Source organism: Homo sapiens, chromosome 1, assembly GCF_000001405.40.
Source record: "Homo sapiens chromosome 1, GRCh38.p14 Primary Assembly".
Taxonomy (NCBI): Eukaryota; Metazoa; Chordata; class Mammalia; order Primates; family Hominidae; genus Homo; species Homo sapiens.
The window spans coordinates 232,919,613-232,940,335 of NC_000001.11; the positions used below are offsets into that span (position 1 = coordinate 232,919,613).

The 20,723-nt window shown below is 42.3% G+C and overlaps 2 annotated features.

The window, feature by feature from the left end:
• Positions 3,962-5,161: an enhancer, noted in NCBI's record as "CDK7 strongly-dependent group 2 enhancer chr1:233059320-233060519 (GRCh37/hg19 assembly coordinates)". NCBI's record gives its function as "activates an origin of replication core promoter dependent on BRD2, BRD4, P300/CBP, MED14 and CDK7 cofactors, with strong dependence on CDK7, by STARR-seq in HCT116 cells {active_cell/tissue: HCT116}" and the evidence as "EXISTENCE:reporter gene assay evidence [ECO:0000049][PMID:35650434]".
• Positions 4,728-4,787: an enhancer, noted in NCBI's record as "active region_2734". NCBI's record gives its function as "activates an Ori minimal core promoter by ATAC-STARR-seq in GM12878 lymphoblastoid cells {active_cell/tissue: GM12878}" and the evidence as "EXISTENCE:reporter gene assay evidence [ECO:0000049][PMID:35858748]".

Below are 20,723 nucleotides of genomic sequence, written 5' to 3' on the forward strand. Positions count from 1 at the left end.
ATTACTCAGTCTCAAGTATTCCTTTGTAGCAACACAAATGAACTAAGACAATATGTTTTTTCCTTGATAAAAGTTATGTAAATCTATCATTAAATTTATTCCTTTGTATGTGATGCTTTGATACTGTTGTAAATGATATCTTTTTAAGGTTTTTTTTCAGTTTAATTGTTTACTTCAGTTATATAGAACTAAAATTGATTTTTGTGTGTGTGTGTGTTGTTTTCTATTAAAGTTATTTAAGGTCTTTCAGGTGCATCTCCATTACTCTGGGTATGTACAATTGATTTTATATCCAGTGGCCTTGCTAAATTCTCTTTCAATTCTAATATTTTAGTGAAAATTATCTTTGGATTTCCTACATGTATGATCATGTCTCTTGTGAGTAATGACATATTTGTTTCCTCCCAATCTCTAAACCTTTATTTACTTTATCCTTATTCTTTTGCACTGCCTAGGACATCCAGTGCCCTGCTGGCACCTTTTTCCACCCCATCACAGTCCTGTCGATCAACTAAAGGCAAACATTAGGAAGAGCATTCCCAGGAAAGGAGTGGGAAAGGGTTTCTTTCTAAGGCTGAGAGCAGAGCTGGCCTAACCTACACAGTTCAGGCTTTCTGTGGATAATATCTCTAAAGAAAAGATCTAGGGAAAGGTTTGAGTTTTCAGATAGCACTTACCTTTGGAAACTCAAGACCATGAGGAAATTAATTCCAACAAAGAATCTAAAGAGAGAATAGAGAACTCCCCTTTGCCCCAGCTGGACCATGTGTGGAGCTTTAACTCCTTTCCTTGCTCCATTTCCTTACTTACTGAATGTACCTTAGGGACAATGGTACAACACAATTGTTGCGGACTGAATTGTGTCTCCCTTTAAAATTTATATGTTGGAGTCCTAACCCTCAGTGCCTTAAAATGTGAGCTTATCTGAAAATAGGATTGTTGTAGACATCATTAGTTCAGAGGAGGTCATTAGGGTGGGCCCTAATCCAATATAACTGGTGTCCTTATAAAAAGGGGGAAATTTGGACACAGAGACACACACGTGTGCAAACAGAGGACCATGTGAAGATGAAGACAGAGATCAGAGTGATGCATCTACAAGCCAAAAGATGACAAAAATTGCCAGAAAACCAGCAGAAGCCAGGAGAGAAACATGGAACAAATTCTTCCCCACAGCCCTCAGAAGGACTCAATCCTGCCAACACATTGATCTTGGACTTCCAGCCTCCTCCATTCCCAAGGCAGCTGCCACAAATGGGTCTCTTTCTCTCTGCACCTCATGGGAGTGGTCAAAGCAGCCACAATCATTTCATCAGAGAGTTGGTTTGAGTTGAAATCTCCTTGTCATCTCTGCCTTAATGAGTATATAAAACTTTTTTTAGTAGAGGATATGAATAAATTTCATAGCTCATCTTTAAAAAGAATCATTAAAGCCCTATGAACTAAGATGTCCTTTTCACTAATAGATTAAGATTGAGGCTCCAAAAGATGGGTAGCTGTTTTTGTTTGTGCAAAAGCCTTGCAGCCTCTAGCAGTTTTCCCAGCACATAGTAGGTATTCAAAATTATTGACAGAATAATTGCGCAGAATTAGTCTTACCAAATAGAGCTAATGATGACAGTAATCAATGATAGGTCCAGCCTTACTCATGGATAGCATAGATAGTCATGGGCATGATGTATGTATAAGTTCTCCAGAGTTCCAATGAAACAACATTTCATATATATGTGTGTGTGTGTGTGTGTGTGTGCGCGCGCGTGTGTATGTGTGTGTATCTTGTATATATATCCAGAAAGAGAGACAGAGAGAGAGAGAGATTTATTTTAAGGAATTGCTGCACTGACAGATGTGCCTGTTTTTGCTATCTTGGGATTTCTTTCTGTTATTTTAAGAAAAACTCAGTGAGCTTGATTTTGAAAGCTGCTGCTTTGGCCATGGCTTAGTGTTTGAGGCTCAAAGTGTTGAAACTTCCTATAAATAGTATCCTTAGCGATGGGTCATCGCCATATGTATTGCTCCAACATTATGTTGGCATACATTTAAATGAAAGATTGATGTTGTTGACTACAGTTGCTTGTATGATTTGTGTTTGTAGTTGGCCTCCTTTTTATTTTTTTGTGAATGGTTGAGACCACAAGAAATGTTGTTTCACTGGGAAGAGAAAAAGAAAGGAGAAAATACTCATTACCAAACTCAATTTGATGACTTATGTTGGCATTCCCTAATGGGCTGCCTAACATGAGAAAGGGGAGAGGAGGTGTGTTTTTTGTCACAAGGTTTCTATTCCATGATTGAAACTATTTATCTTTTGAGGGAAAAAAGATTTATAATGTTTCCAGTAAAGTTGCCTGTATTAATCTATGTGAACTTCCATAATAAAATGTCATAGATTGAGTGGCTTAAACAACAGACATTTATTTTGCATAGTTCTGCGGGCTGAAAATCTATGATCAAAATCCAGCACTGTTTGGTTTCTGGTGAGGGCTCTCTTCCTGGCTTCTAGATTGCCACCTTCTCATGGTGTCCTTAGACGGTCTTTTCTTTGAGTGTACTTGGAGAGAGAGCTCTTTCTCTTCCTCTTATAAGGCCACCAACCTTGTGTGATTAGGGACCTACCCTTATGACCTCATTTAACTTTAATTACCTCCTAAAGGCCCTATCTCAAACTACAGTCACATTAGGGTGAAGGTTTCAATATTTTGGGGGGATAAAATTCAGTCCATGGCAGTTTCGATTACGTTATAAAATAATACTGTTTTTCAAAGGCATAAGAAACTAGCAAGGGAGAATCATTATGTATTCACAGAGTTGAAGGAAAAGAGGGGTGGTGTGGTAAAAATCGAAAATTATTTGCCACTTACCTCTCTCTCTTTTTATAGAGACAGGGTCTTGCTCTGTCACACAGGCTAGAGTGCAGTGGCACCAACATATTTCACTGGAGCCTCAACCTCCTGCTTCAGCCCCCTGAGTAGCTGGGAGTACCTATGTGTGCACTACCATGGCTTGTTAATTTTTCAAAAGAAATTTTTGTCGAGACAGGGTCTCATTATGCTGCCTAAGCTAGTCACAAACTTCTGGTCGCAAGCAATCCTCCTGGCTTAGTCAGCCTCCCAAAGTGCTGCAATTACAGGCATGAGCTACCACATCTGGCCTACTTTTCTTGCAATAAAATCCAGACACAGTTTTAGGGTTTCTTTCTGTGTGTAAAATATTGTGGTAAAATCTTTAGATTACTGACTTAATTTTTCAGGAAGTAAGAAGCATTTTAAGATAATGTACCACACATCTTCTCACACTGTGGTATGTGACGGTTAAAAATGCAGCAAAAAATATGGACCTTTACTTCACGAATTTAGAATTTTACTGGCAATATTGAGGTATGAGTTTGCTAATTCTCAAAGGAATCTTATATGTGTCTATTCAGGAATAGTAATTTGATTATTTTGAATAAATGTGCCTGATGACAGTGTATTAGTCAATTTTCATGCTGCTGATAAAGACATACCAAGACTGGGAAGAAAAGGAAGTTTAATTGGACTTATAGTTCCACATGGTTGGGGAGGCCTCAGAATCATGGTGGGAGGTGAAAGGCACTTCTTACATAGTGGTGGCAAGAGAAAATGAGGAAGAAGCAAAAGCAGAAAGCCCTAATAAACCCATCAGATCTTGTGAAACTTATTCACTATCATGAGAATAGCATGGGAAAGACTGGCCCCCAAGATTCAATTATCTCCCCCGGGTCCCCCTTCACAACACATGGGAATTCTGGGAGATACAATTCCAGTTGAGATTTGGGTTGGGACACAGCCAAACCATATCACTCAGTAAAGTGAAAAGTTTGATTTTCAAAAATTTCTTGTCTTGATTTGTTACAGGCCTAATTGACCAAATGAATTAATCTTTTGTCACAATGATGGCAAATTCTGTCAGTCCAATGATTGGTCACACATTCTATTTGCACTCTATGCAAGCATATTAGCTTTTCTTTCTTGAAAAATCAGTGTCTTCCTTGGCAATAAGAGGATGAAGGGGGAAATTTTATTTCGAATAATGCCATGTTTAAGAACTCGACAAATCTTGGGTCAGATTCATTCTCCCCTCCTGGAAGGCTGAACCAGGAAGTAGAGCCCAGCAATGTTGAATACTCATTAACTCTTCCAGATCACTCTTCCGGTCCCATTCAGTCAATTGCTACTTCAGACCCTTGGTTTCTGGAGAGAACCTGACTCATTCTCACTCTGCTTTAATCATCCTCTGAAAGTGGGCTGTGGGCCTGGAGCAAGGGTGAGTAAGGACATGTCAGCGCTCCTCTCAATCCAAGGGATACTAGGTGCAGCTGAGTTGGTAGCTCACATCCCTGCTGTGGCTGTAAAGGGAGGGAAGATGGCACTTTATCATGAACTTGCAGTAAAGGTGAAGGACAGCTCTTCCAAAAGAGGGGCAGCTGCTAATCTCAAGATCAGATTCTGTGACACTGTTGTCACTTTGCTCAGTCAGGCACAGATACAGTTTTATGCATTGATGTGGTTAGAGCTTGCCAGAAACCAACCCAAGGGTGTGCTATCTTGCTTTCTTTTTCTTTGTCTTTTGGGGTAAGTTACATCTACCGTTTCAGTCTATGGAAGCTGGCGGTCTTAAGCAAAGCCACACTTACTTCCTAAGCTGTTCAACAAATCAAAACCCTGTTCAGAAAGGCAGGAGGAGCCAGGTGCTGGGTGGGGAAGTCTTCCTTCACTGCCTGGCTGGACTCAGAAGCCCTCCAGTGCACTGCAGCAGAGAAGACTTTGATCTCAAAGTAATTTTCACCTTGATCTCATCTATAGGCCCTGAAGACTCTTCCTGGGTGTCTGTCAATGCAAGGAGTGGGCCTTGGCATTTGTTGTAACGAACTGAAAAATGACCACAAATCACCATCTTCCGTGTTGATGGGGACTATTTGTTTAACGGCATTGCTTAGGCCATTAAAAGACCCCTCGGGAATCAGGAAGGGGTGAAGATTTGAAACATTTTCATCCTTGGTTCAAGACAATAGAATTTGAAGATGCCTTTACCCCACTGATGTGGATATCAAGAGTATCCAGGGTGAGAGGTCACAGAGTCATCCGCCTGACTGCGTCTGCATGAGCAAAGATAGACAGGATGAGACTGAAAATTCTTCGCTTCATTCATTTCTGTATTTCTGGGCCATGCCCTCTAACAATTGCAAAGATGAACTGCAGCGAATTGGAATGACCTAACATTTCTGTGACATCTGATTCTGTTGTACCTGAACATCCCAGAGACCACACCGCTCAAGGGAAATGTATATTTGAAAAATATCTTGTGAATGTCTCTAAGCCAGAAAATAAAAATGGACTTTTCAGAGCTAGCAGAGATCCACTTTCGAGCCTGATGCAGCCTCTCTGGTGATTTATAATGCATTGACAGTATTCCCCAGATAATTCTTAGAGCCCTCCATTACCACCCAATGAATAGAGGCCATCTCACTGGGGTGTCAGCGAGGTTGAAATTTGCTAAGAATTTACTAGCCCAGAGAAATGCATGAGAGAGAAGTGCCAGATGATACATCTGGAAGAGACCACTGCTGATTCTACAGATGCAAAATCCCATGCAGTCAGGGTAGTGACTTACCTGGGACCACACAGCTAACCATGGCAATGGAGGACTAGCGTTCAGGTCTCTGAACACCCAGCTTTGTGTTTAAAGACTGCACTGACCACTAGGAATAACAGGTCTGGTTAATGCACCATTGGCCATTCTGACAATGCTTTACTAACTGCCTGAGATAGACCAAGACTTCCTTCAGCAGTCAGGAAGTCAGAAGAGCAAGGAAGCAATTTGGCTCTACAGGGTGGAGACAAAATGCCTTTTCAATAGGTTGCTAAGTTCTCCATTTAACAAGAGCCAAAGAAAAAGTTCATACCAAAAACACCTTATAAACAAAATTCATCCTTTATACAGACATCTGCTCTTCTTCAGGGGGGCTGCGGGCCATTAGGGCCATGTGCTTGTCACGACGCTTGCAGCAGATGTTTGCTAATACTTTAAGATCTCCCTGTGATGTGGTTATTGTTTAATTCTCCTGTAAGGAGAGTTTTGCTCAAATTAAACAGGAAGGCTTAAATGCGAACTAGGGTGCAATGTCCTGCTGTGCATTTGTTACAGTGGCACATCAAAGCTCTAAGAAAGGGGCTTGGGGTTTTCTTCAAGTTCACCAGAGGCCCCAAAGCACTATGCCATGGTGAGTGAGAGAAGCTGTGTCTCATTTTCGTATGCATTTATGTTCAACTACATTGCAGGGTTGTTCTGTTAGCCCTATTGTGCCTTTTGTTTAAAAGGCCAGACTGCTTTGAAGTGAGCTGGCAGAGCATGATGACAGAGGGCCACTCAGGCAGGGCCCATGGCCAGAGCCTGGAAAGGCAGTAGGAAAAGCTGTATTCTTCATGCCTGACCAGGTCTCTGCACTTCACATGAGCAAATGGAATCACTTTAAGAAAGGACTATTAGAAAGCCAAATGTGAGATGAAAAATGACTGTCCATTGTGACCCATGTGTGCTGAGACTGAGAGAGGAATCAATGGTGAGATCAATAAATATTTTATCAAGCACCTCCCTTGGTCAAGAAGCAAAAGACTGGGCAATGTTTGCTCTCCTGGGGGGATTACAATTTTAAATCCACTCTCTTACCACCTAGGAGCTAGACAGAACATAAACATGTTAGAAATTAAAGCGTGAAGGTTGAAAAAATATTTCAAGAAGAGAACAGAAGAGGGAGAGTGATTCACTAAATGAACAGTCTGTATTTGCCATGGGTCCAGGGAGAAAGAGTCTGGTCTGGCCGGGTAAAGCTTTCCTGGAGAGGAGAAGCTTCTCTAGTGGGAAGCAGTTGGTTTGGACTTTACTGGATGGTATTAGTTTCTGTGTCACATCCATGTTTATGAAAAAGTAAAGCCTTATTACTCTTCGTAAGGAGTTAAGAGCCACCTGACTGCCACAGACATTAATTCCTTTGTGATGGGATCCAGTGCAAATGAAAGCACATGATTAATGATGGGATGGTCTTATTCTTAGGTGGCAGCAAGGCTCACAATTTTTCACATTCACATACGTGACTGCATGGATTTTCTAACTAATAATTTGCCACCCACAGCAACACCTAGACAATGGATCTCCACTCACTCTCCCTTGTCACTCAGAAAAAAATCCACATGATTCTCAGGTTTAAATCCCATCAAGGTTATGATTCAGGTTCTCTTGGCTCCAGGCCTGATCCTCCTCTTTCCCTTCCAAATAATTATCCAGGTTCACAAAAATGGACATTTGTGGAGCTCTTGCCTTTTTCTGTCTTGGAAGAACCAGCAAGAATCTACCCTTTCCCAAACTTCCATTCACTCATTTATTATTTTTTTTTATTGAGCACTAGCTATGTGTCAAGCACTGTACTAGGCACAGTAGATTCCATAATAAAAACATTGGAACATAGTGAAGTGAAGGGATAGAGGTAAGCAAAGAGGTTATGATGATACTGTCTGTGATGTGCAGTGATAAAGGGAGGACACAGCAGGGGGCTCTGGTTCCTGACTTGGGGTGTAAAGAAGGTATCCGTATTAGTCTGTTTTCATGCTGCTGATAAAGACATACCAGAGACAGGGCAATTTACAAAAGAAAGTGGTTTAATTGGACTTAACAGTTCCACGTGGCTAGGGAAGCCTCACAATCGTGGTGGAAGGCAAGGAGGAGCAAGTCACGCCTTACATGGATGGCAGCAGGCAGAGAGAGAGAGCGTGTGCAGGGGAACTCCTCTTTTTAAAACCATCGGATCTCATGAGACTTATTTACTCTCATGAGAACAGCAGGGGAAAGACTTGCCCTCATGATTCAATTACCTCCCACTAGGTCCCTCCCTCAACACATGGGAATTCAAGATGAGATTTGGGTGGGGACACAGCCAAACCATATCAGTATCCCAGGAGGTGATGTCAAAGCTGAACCTGAGTGAGCAGAGCAGGAGGTGGTCAGGCAAAGTTGGACGGAGCAGAGGGCATTCCGACTACCCAGGCTTGCATAGGAAACACCTGGAGGCATGGTGGTCCTGTTGTAAAAGCCCAAATGCTGTTTCAGAGGATGGAGCCAAAAATGAGGCCATGGAGAAGAGCAGGGGTCAGTTGCTGAAGGCCGTATAAGAATGTCAAGAGTTTTGGCTCTCATGAGGGGACCAGGGCACTAACAGAGAGTTAGAAGTGCCGCATTGCAACAAGCTCAGAGTGACTTGCCATTTAACACTCACTGGGCACATTAATCTCTCTCAGCATTTTAAAGAAATGACTGCATCCCAGTGAAGTGTTAGCTGACTCACAGAGGAGCAAAGGTTTTCTCATTTTACAGGTGAGGAAACTTGAGATACATGGAGGTGCCAAGGCTCATGGAGTTCGTACAGGAACCAAGAGTAGAAGGTGAACAATCAGCAAAGTTTGTGACAGGAGAGGGGAAATGTGATAAGGGCAAAATTAATGTACCGTCCAAGCTGAACTAAGCTAATGCACAGCATAAATTCTTTGAATGATTTTTTTAAACCAAACTCTTTGCTTGAAACTTAATCAGGAATTTACTGCGGGACATTGAAGGTCAAGGTTTTAGAGTGCCACTACAAATAGCTCTTATCCTGAGTCCTAGTAATACAGCCAGACTAGGCAGTGTGTCAAAACCAAGAGCTCCCTTTGCTATGTAGAAATGCAGAAGGGAGAGCCCAGCATCACTTGAAACCAGAGGCAGATAGACAGTGGTCTTTCCCCTTGAGTGTACAAAGAGGTAATAACAGGATCCACCTCCTCACATGAGGACATGTGAGTTAATACATGTTGTAGTGTATTGAGCAGAACCTGGCATATGATAAGTGCTTGATTTGTTAGCTGTTCTTTCCTGTGTGTTCCCTTAAAGATACAGGTATACAGTTTGAGAAACATGGTGGTACAGGAGTCTTCTAAAAGCACACAGCTTTTCTGTCATCTAGCAGTGCTATAATTGTGTAGTTAGGCAAATGGAATCAAGCTTGACAAGGAAGACGCTGTACCAAGTGTCCCTCAATACCCAGCACTTCTTCATCCCAACAGCATTCACCATGCACCTCCCAAACATTCACTGGTGTTAATGTGGAAGTGCAGAGCATTGGCTTCTGGTGTGGATCATCAGAAACAGGTGGCCAAATAAAAATGGACAGAATCTGTCCCATGTGAAGAGGGAGTAAGCTGAAAGTGTGGTGTCCGGAAATTATTGTAAATTTTATTGCATTTGTAATTTCATGTTATATGTGATTTAATTAAACATATAATATCTAATAAAAGTCCCTGGGAATCCAGATATCTGAGTTACACGTAAAAAGAAGGAAGAAAATATATTTTTTTACTTAAAAAGCCACCCTTTTCAGTGACTTATGTCAGATTATTATTATTATTATTATTATTATTGAGACAGAATGTCGCTCTGTTGCCCAGGCTGGAGTGCAGTGGTGCAATCTTGATTCACTGTAACCTCCGCCTCCCAGGTTCAAGCGATTCTTGTGCCTCAGCTTCCTGAGTAGCTGAGATTACAGGTGCACTCCACGTGCCTGGCTAATTTTTGTATTTTTAGTAGAGACAGGGTTTCACCATGTTGGCCAGGCTGGTCTCGAACCCCTGACCTCAAGTGATCCACCCACCTTAGCCTCCCAAAGTGCTGAGACTACAGGTGTCAGCTTCTGCGCCTGACCAACTTATGTCAGTTTAACAGGTCCATGCTGTCTGCCCTTCATTTTCTGACTAATCCTTTGTAGCAATCTCTGAACCATCAATTCAATGAGGCATTAAGAAATAAGAGACTTCACCATTTTGTAGAAGCCTTTGGCATTTAGATGGGCTCTCCAGGGTGTAACTCACACAAAAACAACACAGATTAATATGAAACATGTTATAAATGGAAACAAACAAACATACACACAAATGTATATACCAGATGACATTCCAGAATAGGCAAAATGAAACTATTTTGGTAAAAATCAGAAGAGGGGCTGTTTGGGGTGTGTGTGGACGAGGGATTGTCTAAGAAGGGGTACAAGGAAACATTCCTGGGTGATAAAAATGCTGTATTGATATGCATTTGTCAAAACGAATTGAGGGGTAGGTATCCTTTATTTTAAAAAGTGGCTATCTCAGTAGGGTTGCTATGTGGATCAGCTGAGATAATGCCTGTAATGCGTTAAGCATACAGCCTGATGCATAATAAACGCATTTTCCCAAGCAATATTAGAAGCATCTGGTTCCAAAATAGAAACCATAATAAGCTAAAGAGAAACAGGTATTGTAAAAGTTATCTATCTGTTTAAAACTTCTCCTGAAATCCCAAAGAGTAGAGTTATTATGAAAGCAACTGGGCGGAGAAAAAAGAGCTTCAAAGGAAATGAATTAAGGGGAGCAGGAAGAAGGAAAATAGCCTCTCTCAAAGAGATAGGAAGAAAGGGAAGATTAATTTTCTTTCTAACTTAAAATTGTCTTTTGTTTGTATAATTAAACTACTGCTTATTTGTAAAACCTAGTAGATAGGCAAAATGTGCATGTTCTAAGTTTGCAATTTAACAAAACATGTTTTAAATAAAGCAAGAAAAGCATTAATTATAAGTTGTTGTTTTTAATTGCAGGAGGAGACCATGAGGTAATTTAGTAAAGTGTTTCAGTCTTCTAAAAAGGGCTCAAGGCTTAAATTCATGAGTAGATTAAAAGTAATTTATAACCATATAAACCTACACAGATGCCTAGATACTCTTGAACCCAGAGACCACTGGAACAATTCAAACCTTCTGGCACAGAGGAGAACTAAGTTAGCCTTTATAATGTGGAAAGGAAACTTGAGAATGTTTGCCTCACCCAAAAAGAAGTGAGATTAGAGCAAAAGTGCAAATTTCTGCCATATTCCTTGGTGTAAAAGTGGTTTTGAAATGTAATTTGAAATAAACTCATGGAGCTCTTTATTTCTAAACCCTGTGCAACGTCTGCCTATGTCCCTTCTTCCTACTTTTGTTTTCTTTAGTTTTTGCAGGAAGATTTACACAAATGGGCTCCCCAAGGTATACCCAAGACTAGTCCTGGCTCTGAACCAACTATGGGTTGGTATTAATTTATTGTCTTGCCAACTAGTCCTGGGACAAAGGGTGTCATCATAGGCACATAAGGTGTTCCCTAACCCATCCAGGCATGGATTGCATGCAAAGGCGGAGCCTCTGCAAAGCAGAGTGACAGTAGCAGGCAGCAGGCAGACCAGCCACACACAGCCGCCATCAATTGTAAATGAGATGGTGCTCCTTGTGTCAAATATCTGATGGGTACACTGCTGAGCTGTAAACTTGACTTGTTCTACAAGTGGGAACTCTGTGACAAAGATGAGTCATTCCACTTACACAAAATATAATGGTTTGTAGACCCTGCGTCTGTCTTTCCTGGCCTGTCCTGGTAGTGGACTTGCTAAAATGACTATTTGTTGGCCCTTGATGGTTAGACACAGAGGAGGTGGTGGTGAAATGTTCTTTAGGCGAGAATGGCAGTTGGAACTGTTGTGATGGAACTGGATTCCCTGAATTCACTGAGGATGATGGGATCCTGGTGGATCAGTGAATCAAGCTGAAGCTCTGAATCTCAGACGAGGACAGGTGGTGATGGGGAGCAGAGCCCAAGCAGCCACCAGAGTAGTCTAACCTGTAGTGTCTTTGGTGTTGATCGTGGTGTCCTTGAAACTGAAGTAGTTGAGCAGCTTACTGAAATCTTCACCTGTATAGGCAAGAAAGCTTTACATCTGGGGAATAGAAGTCTAAATTGGGTCACCATGATAGACTGTTGCAACCTCTTGTCTAACTGTCAGACTCGAGTCAATTCAGGGCCTGGACTAGAGTGAGGCAAGAAGGCATCTGGGGTGCAAAACTTCAGAAGGCGCCCACTCCCAGGGTCATGCAGGTGCCCACAGGCAGGTGCCAACAGTAATCATCTCCTTAAGTTGTGTGCAAGAGTCCCTCTCTTACCTTACCCTAGTCCCAGGCCGAACAGAGCCCCTTGAATGAAAGAGAGGTCAAGCCTTCTGGAGGAAGTCCTGCTTTATGGCAGAAATTTACACTAAATCTCCCTCCTAGCCTCCTTCAAAAGAACCTAGGGCCATTTACAAGAGTGACTATGTGTTGAGGAAGGGTAAATAATCAAACTTTTCAGGGAATACTGAACACGGGCTCTAAATGGAAATTAATTTCTGGAGCAAAAACATTACTCGTAAGAAGAGGGGCTTGTGAAGGTCAGGTGATCAATTACAATTCTATGTAAGTCCATTTCATCATAGACTTGGTCAGACCCATCCTTTGGTGATTTCCCCAGTTCAGACTGCAAAACTGGGATACATATACTCTGCAACTGGCAAAACCCTGACATGGGTTCCGTGACCTGTGAAGTGGAGATGCTATGGTAGGAAAGACCAAAAGACAGCCACTAAAGCTGCCTCTACTTAGCAAGTAGTCAACTAACAGCAAAGCTACATTTCTGGAGGAATTTTAAGATTCATGCCACCTAATCAGGGACTTGAAAGATGGAAGATAGTGATTCCTACCATGTTCCATTCCACTCCCCTATTTGACCTATACAGAAAACAGGTGAATCTGTGAGAACGACAGTGATTATTGCAAATCTCATTATACTATGACTTCAAGTGCAGGTATTATTCCAAATGTAGTTTTATTGCCATATCAAATCAATACTTCCCTAGCAAGTGTATACAGGCATTGATCTGACAAGTGCTTTTTTCTCTACACCTGTTATCAAGGACCATAAAAGCCATTTTCTTTCAACTAGCATGGTCAGAAACATACCTTCACTATCCTATCTCACAGCTATATCCACTCTCTAGTCCTGTGTCATATTTTAGTCCTCAGGGAACTTTATCAACTTTCCATTCCACAGGACAACAAGCTGGCCCATTACATTGGTAATATCATGCTGATTTTTCCCGGGTGAACAGAAAGTGAACAGAAAGCAACAACTGTTGGGAAATAACTTTTTTTTTTCATATTTCTACAGGCCTTGCAAACAGAGGAACTGACTGACTTTGTTCTAAACTACATTTTCAAGGAAGTTTGTATAGTGACTAGACTTGGAAGAAAGACACAGTGTCTCCCTCCAAAGCAAAAGTTAGGCATGCATACTGTACAGTATAATAATAATGATGCCTGCTTCTGGAGCAAAGGGCAGATATGCTTACTGCCCATTATAAAAGACTCAGGTTCCTAAAGCTCAGGGTTTTGTTCCTGTAATGGAATCCAATGTGTGTACATGTGTCACATGATCCTTTTTGTGTTGCTCTGTAGGAAGTGGGGCTTGGGGAACTGGTGCAAGAAATGCTGATATTCTGGTTACCATTATTGCTATGAGGAATAAAGTCCTTTGTCTCTGATTCATTAGTCTCATGTCTTCTACTGACCTCCATGAAACTGTGACAAGTAACTTGTTATCTTACAAGGAGGGTGAAATCTCAGAAGCTTCAGAATCCTTGACAGCAGTTACTCCAGATATCTCAATATGACACAAAAGATGGGAAAAGAATCCCACAAAAATCCAGGGGGTATAACAACCACCCTGAATAAATTTCTAGGAGAACAGTTGTTTCACTCTGTCAAGAAATCCCTTCCAAGAAAAACAAGTGGCTGCATCTGGCCTTTTTTTTTTTTTTTAGAGGAGTTTCGCTCTTTCACCCAGGCTGGAGTGCAATGGTGCAATCTTGGCTCACCGCAACCTCTGCCTCCTGGGTTCAAGCAATTCTCCTGCCTCAGCCTCCTGAGTAGCTGGGATTACAGGCATGCACCACCACACCCAGCTAATTTTGTATTTTTAGTAGAGTCGGGGTTTCAGCATGTTGGTCAGGCTGGTCTCGAACTCTTGACCTCAGGTGATCCATCCGCCTCAGCCTCCCAAAGTGCTGGGATTACAGGCATGAGCCACCACACCCTGCTGGCCTCTCTTATCACTAACAAAGAGACAACACATACCTCATCTGCACTTGCTACTCCAACCCATTTATTAAATATTCTAAAAAATGGCCAGTTTTAGATGGGACCAAAAACACTATCCATGGAATTATAGAAAGGTTTATTCACCATCATTCTGTTATTTTACACAGCACAGCTCCTGACTATAGGATTCACTTTTCAGGACATGAAATGAGGCAAATAGATTCCTGCCTCTAGAATCCCTCATCTTAATGTGTTTGAAGCCCTTGGCTTCACAAAACAATGAAATGCCTTTTGGAAACTCAGTAGGATGGCATACAGTGTGGCATATATAGATGGCATATATATTTAGAACATAATATATGTTCTAAATCAGTGACCATCATATTGTTATTTTTCCCATAGCCAGAATTCCTGGGGCTGGAAATCAAGGGTGGAAATGGGAGTGACTTTTCTCACTCTTATTCCTAGTAAAATATTTTTTCTTCCGTCTCTATGAATTTAGTCTCTGCTGGTCAGGACACTTTGTTCCCAGGGGATAAATGTTTCCATAAGAAGGTACATCAGTGGTTTTATTAAAAGGGAAGCTAAGAGGGGCCGGGCACGGTGGCTCATGCCTGTAATCCCAGCACTTTGGAAGGCTGAGGCGGGTGGATCACGAGGTCAGGAGATCGAGATCATCCTGCCCAACATGGTGAAACCCCTTCTCTACTAAAAATAAAAAATTAGCCGGGCATGGTGGCAGACTCCTGTAGTCTCAGCTACTTGAACTAAGTGAACTCTGTAGTCCCAGAGTCTCACTCTGTCACCAGGCTGGAGTGCAATGGCACGATCTTGGCTCACTGCAACCTCTGCCTCCCAGGTTCAAGTAATTCTCCTGCCTCAGCCTCCTGAGTAGCTGGGATTACAGGCGTGCACCACCACACTCCGCTAATTTTTGTATTTTTAGTAGAGATGGGGTTTCACCAAATTTTTGTATTTTTAGCAGAGATGGCCAGGATGGTCTCGATCTCTTGACCTCGTGATCTGCCCACCTCGGCCTCCCAAAGTGCTGTGATTACAGGCGTGAGCCACTGCACCCAATCTGTGTGGGTTTTTTTTTTTTTTTTTTTTTTTTTTTTTGTGAGATGGAGTTTTGGTCTGTTGCCAGGCTGGAGTGCAGTGGCGCAATCTCGGCTCACTGCAATCTCCACCTCCTGGGTTCAAGTGATTCTCCTGCCTCAGCCTCCCGAGTAGCTGAGATTACAGGCGCCTGCCGCCACACCCAGCTAATTTTTGTGTTTTTAGTAGAGATAGATAAAAGGACTTTTTATCCTTTTTGGGGAGGAGGGTTAGCAAGTTTGTTTCCCTTGTACAAGGAATTGCTGCATCATTCTGGGCAGAAGAATGATCTCACCATCATCTTTACTTGGAGCTCCAGTTTGGTTACGTGCAGTGTATGCGGAAGCCGCCTAGACATTGGGAAGGCTGTGATGACTTTGGACTGTCTCAACCTAATGAAGGTGAAGTTACATTTTCCAGAATTCCCTCCACTGTACTTCTGGGTTAGCTTCGGCCACAGGAAGCATCTTGTGTAAGACTTAAAGGCAGCAGTAGAGGAGCAGCTGTGTGTTTCGCCCTTGGAGAGCCAGTTCAATCCCAGGGGCCTGGGGCAGCTCTGCATGTCTTTACTGATCAACCAACCAGCTCTCTTGTTGCTGTGGGGACACCTGGACTCTTGGCTCCTCCTTCAGCTCCTCCAGGCCCTGGGCCCATGTGTGTAGCTTTGAGGCAAAGGTGCCAGAATCTCCCAAAGGCCACCCACATCACCGAGGCAGGAAATGGTGTGAAACAGGCTCCAGTCTGTCCTTGTCCTCATTGTCTCTAACAGTTTCCCTTCCCAACTGCAGCTTGATGGACCTTTAGGGACAGCAGGCTCCACACTGGACACAAGAGGCAAGCTGGCCCCACCAGCTCCCACAACTGTGTAAGGATGAACCTTATGATAAATGCCTGACTCCCTCACCCAGAAACTCAGTTTCTCTGATCAAAGTATATCTGGCACAGAAGGCAAGACTATTAGTGGAGTCATCTTTAAATAGAGAGAATTTCTTAAGAGAGGAAATGGACTTGAAGGAGCCAGAGAAGTAACCCGTGTGGCAGTGAGAGGTTTTTCAACGCCACGGAGGCAGAGCATTGGCTAAGCTCCTTCGCCTGGGCAGGCCCCTCAGCGAGAGTGAGTGAGAGTGTCTGTCCATGGATGTGTGAATGAGTGAAGGGCCATTTACACGAGAGAGTAGGAAGGCCATCTGGCTCTGACCTCAAATGCTCTCCCAACACACAATCACAGCAATCACACAATGACAGGAACTGAAGATGAAGACAGATATCATACAACTTTAACTCAGAACAAGCTACTTGAAATCATTACCAGATCACATCACTCATGGTGATGGTTAATTGTATGTGTCAACTTGGCTGGGCCAAGGTGCTCAGATATTTAGCCAAACGTTTTCCTGAAAGTTTCGGTGTGGGTGTTTTTGGATGAGATTCACATTTAAATTGGTGGACTTTGAGTAAAACAGATTGCCCTTCATAATGCGGGTAGGCTTCATTCAATCAGTTGAAAGCCTGAATAGAATGAAGACTTACCTCCTCGTTCAAGAAGAAATTATCTAGCCTAACGGCCTACTCTGCAGATTTTGTGTGGGCCAATTTCTTAAAGCAAATCTCTCTCTCTCTCTCTCCCCATCCTATCAGTTCTGCTTCTCAGGAGAACCCTGACTAATGCACTCAGTAAGCTATAAATTAAATTTTGAATAATTGTTGCAATCATTTTGTGAAAAGCATAGTTATATGGGATCCCATTTCTGTTTTAAATTTTAATTTGGGGCCGAGGGTGGTGGCTCACGCCTGTAATACCAGCACTTTGGGAGGTGAGGTGGGTGGATCACTTGAGGTCAGGAGTTCAAGAGGAGCCTGGCCAACATGGTGAAACCCCATCTCTATTAAAAATACAAAAATCATCCAGGCATGGAGGTGGGCACCTATTATCCCAGCTATTCAGGAGGCTGAGGCAGGAGAATTGCTTGAACACGGGAGGCAGAGGTTGCAGTAAGCTGAGATGGCGCCATGGCACTACAGCCTGGGCAACAGAGCAAGACTCCATCTAAAAATAAATAAATAAATAAATAAAATAAAATAAATTTTAAACTGTTAAAGGTAATTTTAAAAAAATTACACAATATTTTATAATCCTCTTCTACTACCCTTCCTTTAGCTCACTCTGATCCAGCTATACTAGCTTCCTTCCCATTCCTTAAATATACCTCAAAGACCTTGCATTTGCTATTCCTTCTGTTGGGAATACTGTTCCCTCAGCTTACTGCATGATTTGCTCCCTTGCTTTCTTCAGAACTTCAGTCAACTGTATTTGCAGTGAAGCTTTTCCTCCCCTCGACTCATCTTAAGCAGAGCTGCAGATGTGGTGCAGTCCGTGCATGCACATCTGTGCATGAGAGAAGGTCTCCTCTCAGCTCACCCAGCATCTCCTGTGCCACACGCAGACTTTCAGCTGCTTTCCCAATTCAGTGCACAGAGCCCACATAAAGGGTTATGGCTATGCCTTTTCTTTAGTGACAGCCATTTTCAGGGCAATTACTGATCCGCAGTGGTAATGGATCTAAAGATGCCTCGATACATTTGAATTTCAGCAAAGCACTCGGTAGTCACATAGGGAAATGAAATCAAATCAAGTTATGCATTAGAACAGGCCAGAAGATGTCCTTCCTTCACCCGATACAATGCATGTGTAGGGCATGAGTGTCCTTATTCCTGGCCATGCCTGAATCCCACAACATAATGTGTTTGTGTGTGTGTGCGTAGAAGTGGGGGTGTATATGTGCATATTTTCAAAAATGTTATTTATAATTTGGAAGACACTACATACAGAAAAGTATTGTGATGAAATTTAACTCATTTTCCCACAATTCACCCACATGACCATTACTCTTTCTGATGACTTTTTTCTGATTATTTTATGCAGCTGTTTTAAATTTTATTTTTATACACTTGTAATTACATTGCACATGTAATATCCTATGCTGTTTCGTGTACTCCACATTATTTCATAAGCATCTTTCCATCCTATCAGTTAGACTTTTTTTCTGATTGCCAAGGACTCTAACGATACTGAGACTTTATAATTTCATATGCCCCGAGGCAGGGCTGGCTTTGGGTGAGAGTAATTCGGTGGCTCAAACAATTACAAGGAACTTGGCTCCCTTTGTCTCTCTGCTCTGGCTGGACATGTGCTATCTGGCACAGAAAGAGGCAAACTCTGTCTCCTATTCATAAGGTGGGCAATTCCCCAAACATAGGAAAGAGTTTAGATGCTTGGCGGCTAAAATGAATGTTAAATTTGTACTATGATATTTCATAAGACTATTGTGAAATGTTGAATGAGACAATATGTGTACATGCTCAGCACAGTGTGTGGCATGTAGGAAGTGAGCCTGATAAACTTTCAGTTTTTTGATAATGATGATAAGAGAAGGAGAAGCTGCTACTTGAGGATGATGAAACTCTACAAGCCTCACTTGTATCTCGACACATCAGGGAGAGGCAACAAGCACTTAGGCTCACCAGCAGGTCACTGGGTCAATTTAGAAGGAATACAGGAACAGAGGGAGAAGCTAAACAATGCCGTGGTGATATAAACACCAAAAACTGTGTGTTCGTATCTGCTGTGAAAACCGTACAGGACAAACCACTGGTTTCTTTAACAAAGAAACTAAGGAAAAAAGATCAGATGAAGGAGGTCTTTTATATTAACGGGATACAAAATGCATCACCAACTTGCAATGTATGAACCTTAAGCAGATCTAACTCAGTGCACAAGGGTCCTAATTGCTCCGTATCCTCATCAACACTTGTTATTTTCTGGGTTTTGTTTGTTTGTTTTGATAGTAGCCACCCTAGTGGGTGTGAGGTATCCATAGTGTTGATTTTTATACAGATTTTACTTGTATCATTAACTAATTGTGTTATGTGCATTGATGTGTTTTTAAAATTAGATTATAAGTATTTTTAGGGCAAAGACCCTGTTGTATACGTCTTTTATTACCCAAAAATGCCTAATAAGCACTCTGTACTTACTAGAGGTGATCGGTATGATTGTTGACACTGCAATTCTATCTGTTCAGAGTGCTAGTGTGTGCAGTAGACTGCTACTATACGTTTGTAATTTTTTCCCCCAAAGACCTTTAACACAAAGGAGGAGTTCAAAAATGTTCCACTGAAAAATGAACTACGGAGTTTAGAAATTCATTTAATTAGCAAGCATTAATTGAACATCTAGATACTGGGAATTGAGTAGTGAATAAACCTCATTTAGTTCCTCTCTCATGAAGGTTTTTTCATTTTAGCAGAAGTGGAAGTCATTAAATAAATTTAAACAACTCATCATTCAATTACAATCATAAGTGAAATGAACTAGAAGTTCAGGAGGCTACAGGACGCTTGGTGTGGAGGCAAAAGCAGCTCCATCTTGGATGTTCATCCATCCGCCATGTTGACTTCTGATTAACACTCATTCCAGGAATACCTCTAAGATTTCTACTTCCTGCCGGGCGCGGTGGCTCAAGCCTGTAATCCCAGCACTTTGGGAGGCGGAAGCGGGCGGATCACAAGGTCAGGAGATCGAGACCATCCCGGCTAACACGGTGAAACCCCGTCTCTACTAAAAATACAAAAAATTAGCCGGGCGTGGTGGCGGGTGCCTGTAGTCCCAGCTACTCGGGAGGCTGAGGCAGGAGAATGGTGTGAACCCGGGAGGCAGAGCTTGCAGTGAGCCGAGATCACGCCACTGCACTCCAGCCTGGGCGACAGAGCGAAACTCCGTCTCAAAAAAAAAAAAAAAAAAAGGTTTCTACTTCCACCTACTTACTGTGAATGCTGCTCTTAGGTCAAAACAACCTTGATGTTACTGTAAACACATATTTACCATAAATCCTGTCCTTAGGCAAATTCCTTATGCTATACAAGCCCTGGGTCTGGCAGTAACATGCAGGGATCCACCATCACATCTTGCAGCCACCTAAGACAAGGTTTCTGTTCCTAAGTCCCTAGTAAATGCTTCTTGATGGGAAACTGGATTTGTCAGCCTCTTTCTTTGGCTTCTCAGCTCCCTTGGCCTTTAGGGGTAGGTTTGCACAGACCTGTTCACTATGAAACACTTGGTGTGTTCTAGGGGGTCAGGAATGATAAATACATGTTAGCTAGGGGAAGATGATATGGGAGAGAGCCTTTAAAGTGGCAGAAACAGCATGTGCAAAGGCCCTGTGACAGAGAGGAGTGTGGTCCCCTTGGGCATATGAGAATAGTTTGCATCTCCCCCATATGGAGCAGGAGCTCTAGGAAAGTCAAAGATTGGCCTATTGCTCCCATACAACAATGCCATCACCTCTATTCTCGTGCACTAAGGTTGTATGGAGACATTCTTAGCACCTTGCTAGACTGCTTCCAAGCACGACACCCAGCAGCCAACTATCCTTAGATCTTCAAATGTAAGGGTTCGTGGGGCAGTGAACAGGGTGAGGCACCAGTTATCTTCTTTTCCCAGCAAAGCTTTATGCTACTCTTGCCTCAGCTTGGACTCTGCTTATGAAATAAGGTGAGGGGTCAGGAGGTTGGGATCTCACGATGGGACAGGTCATTAAATAAGTGACAGACACTTGAT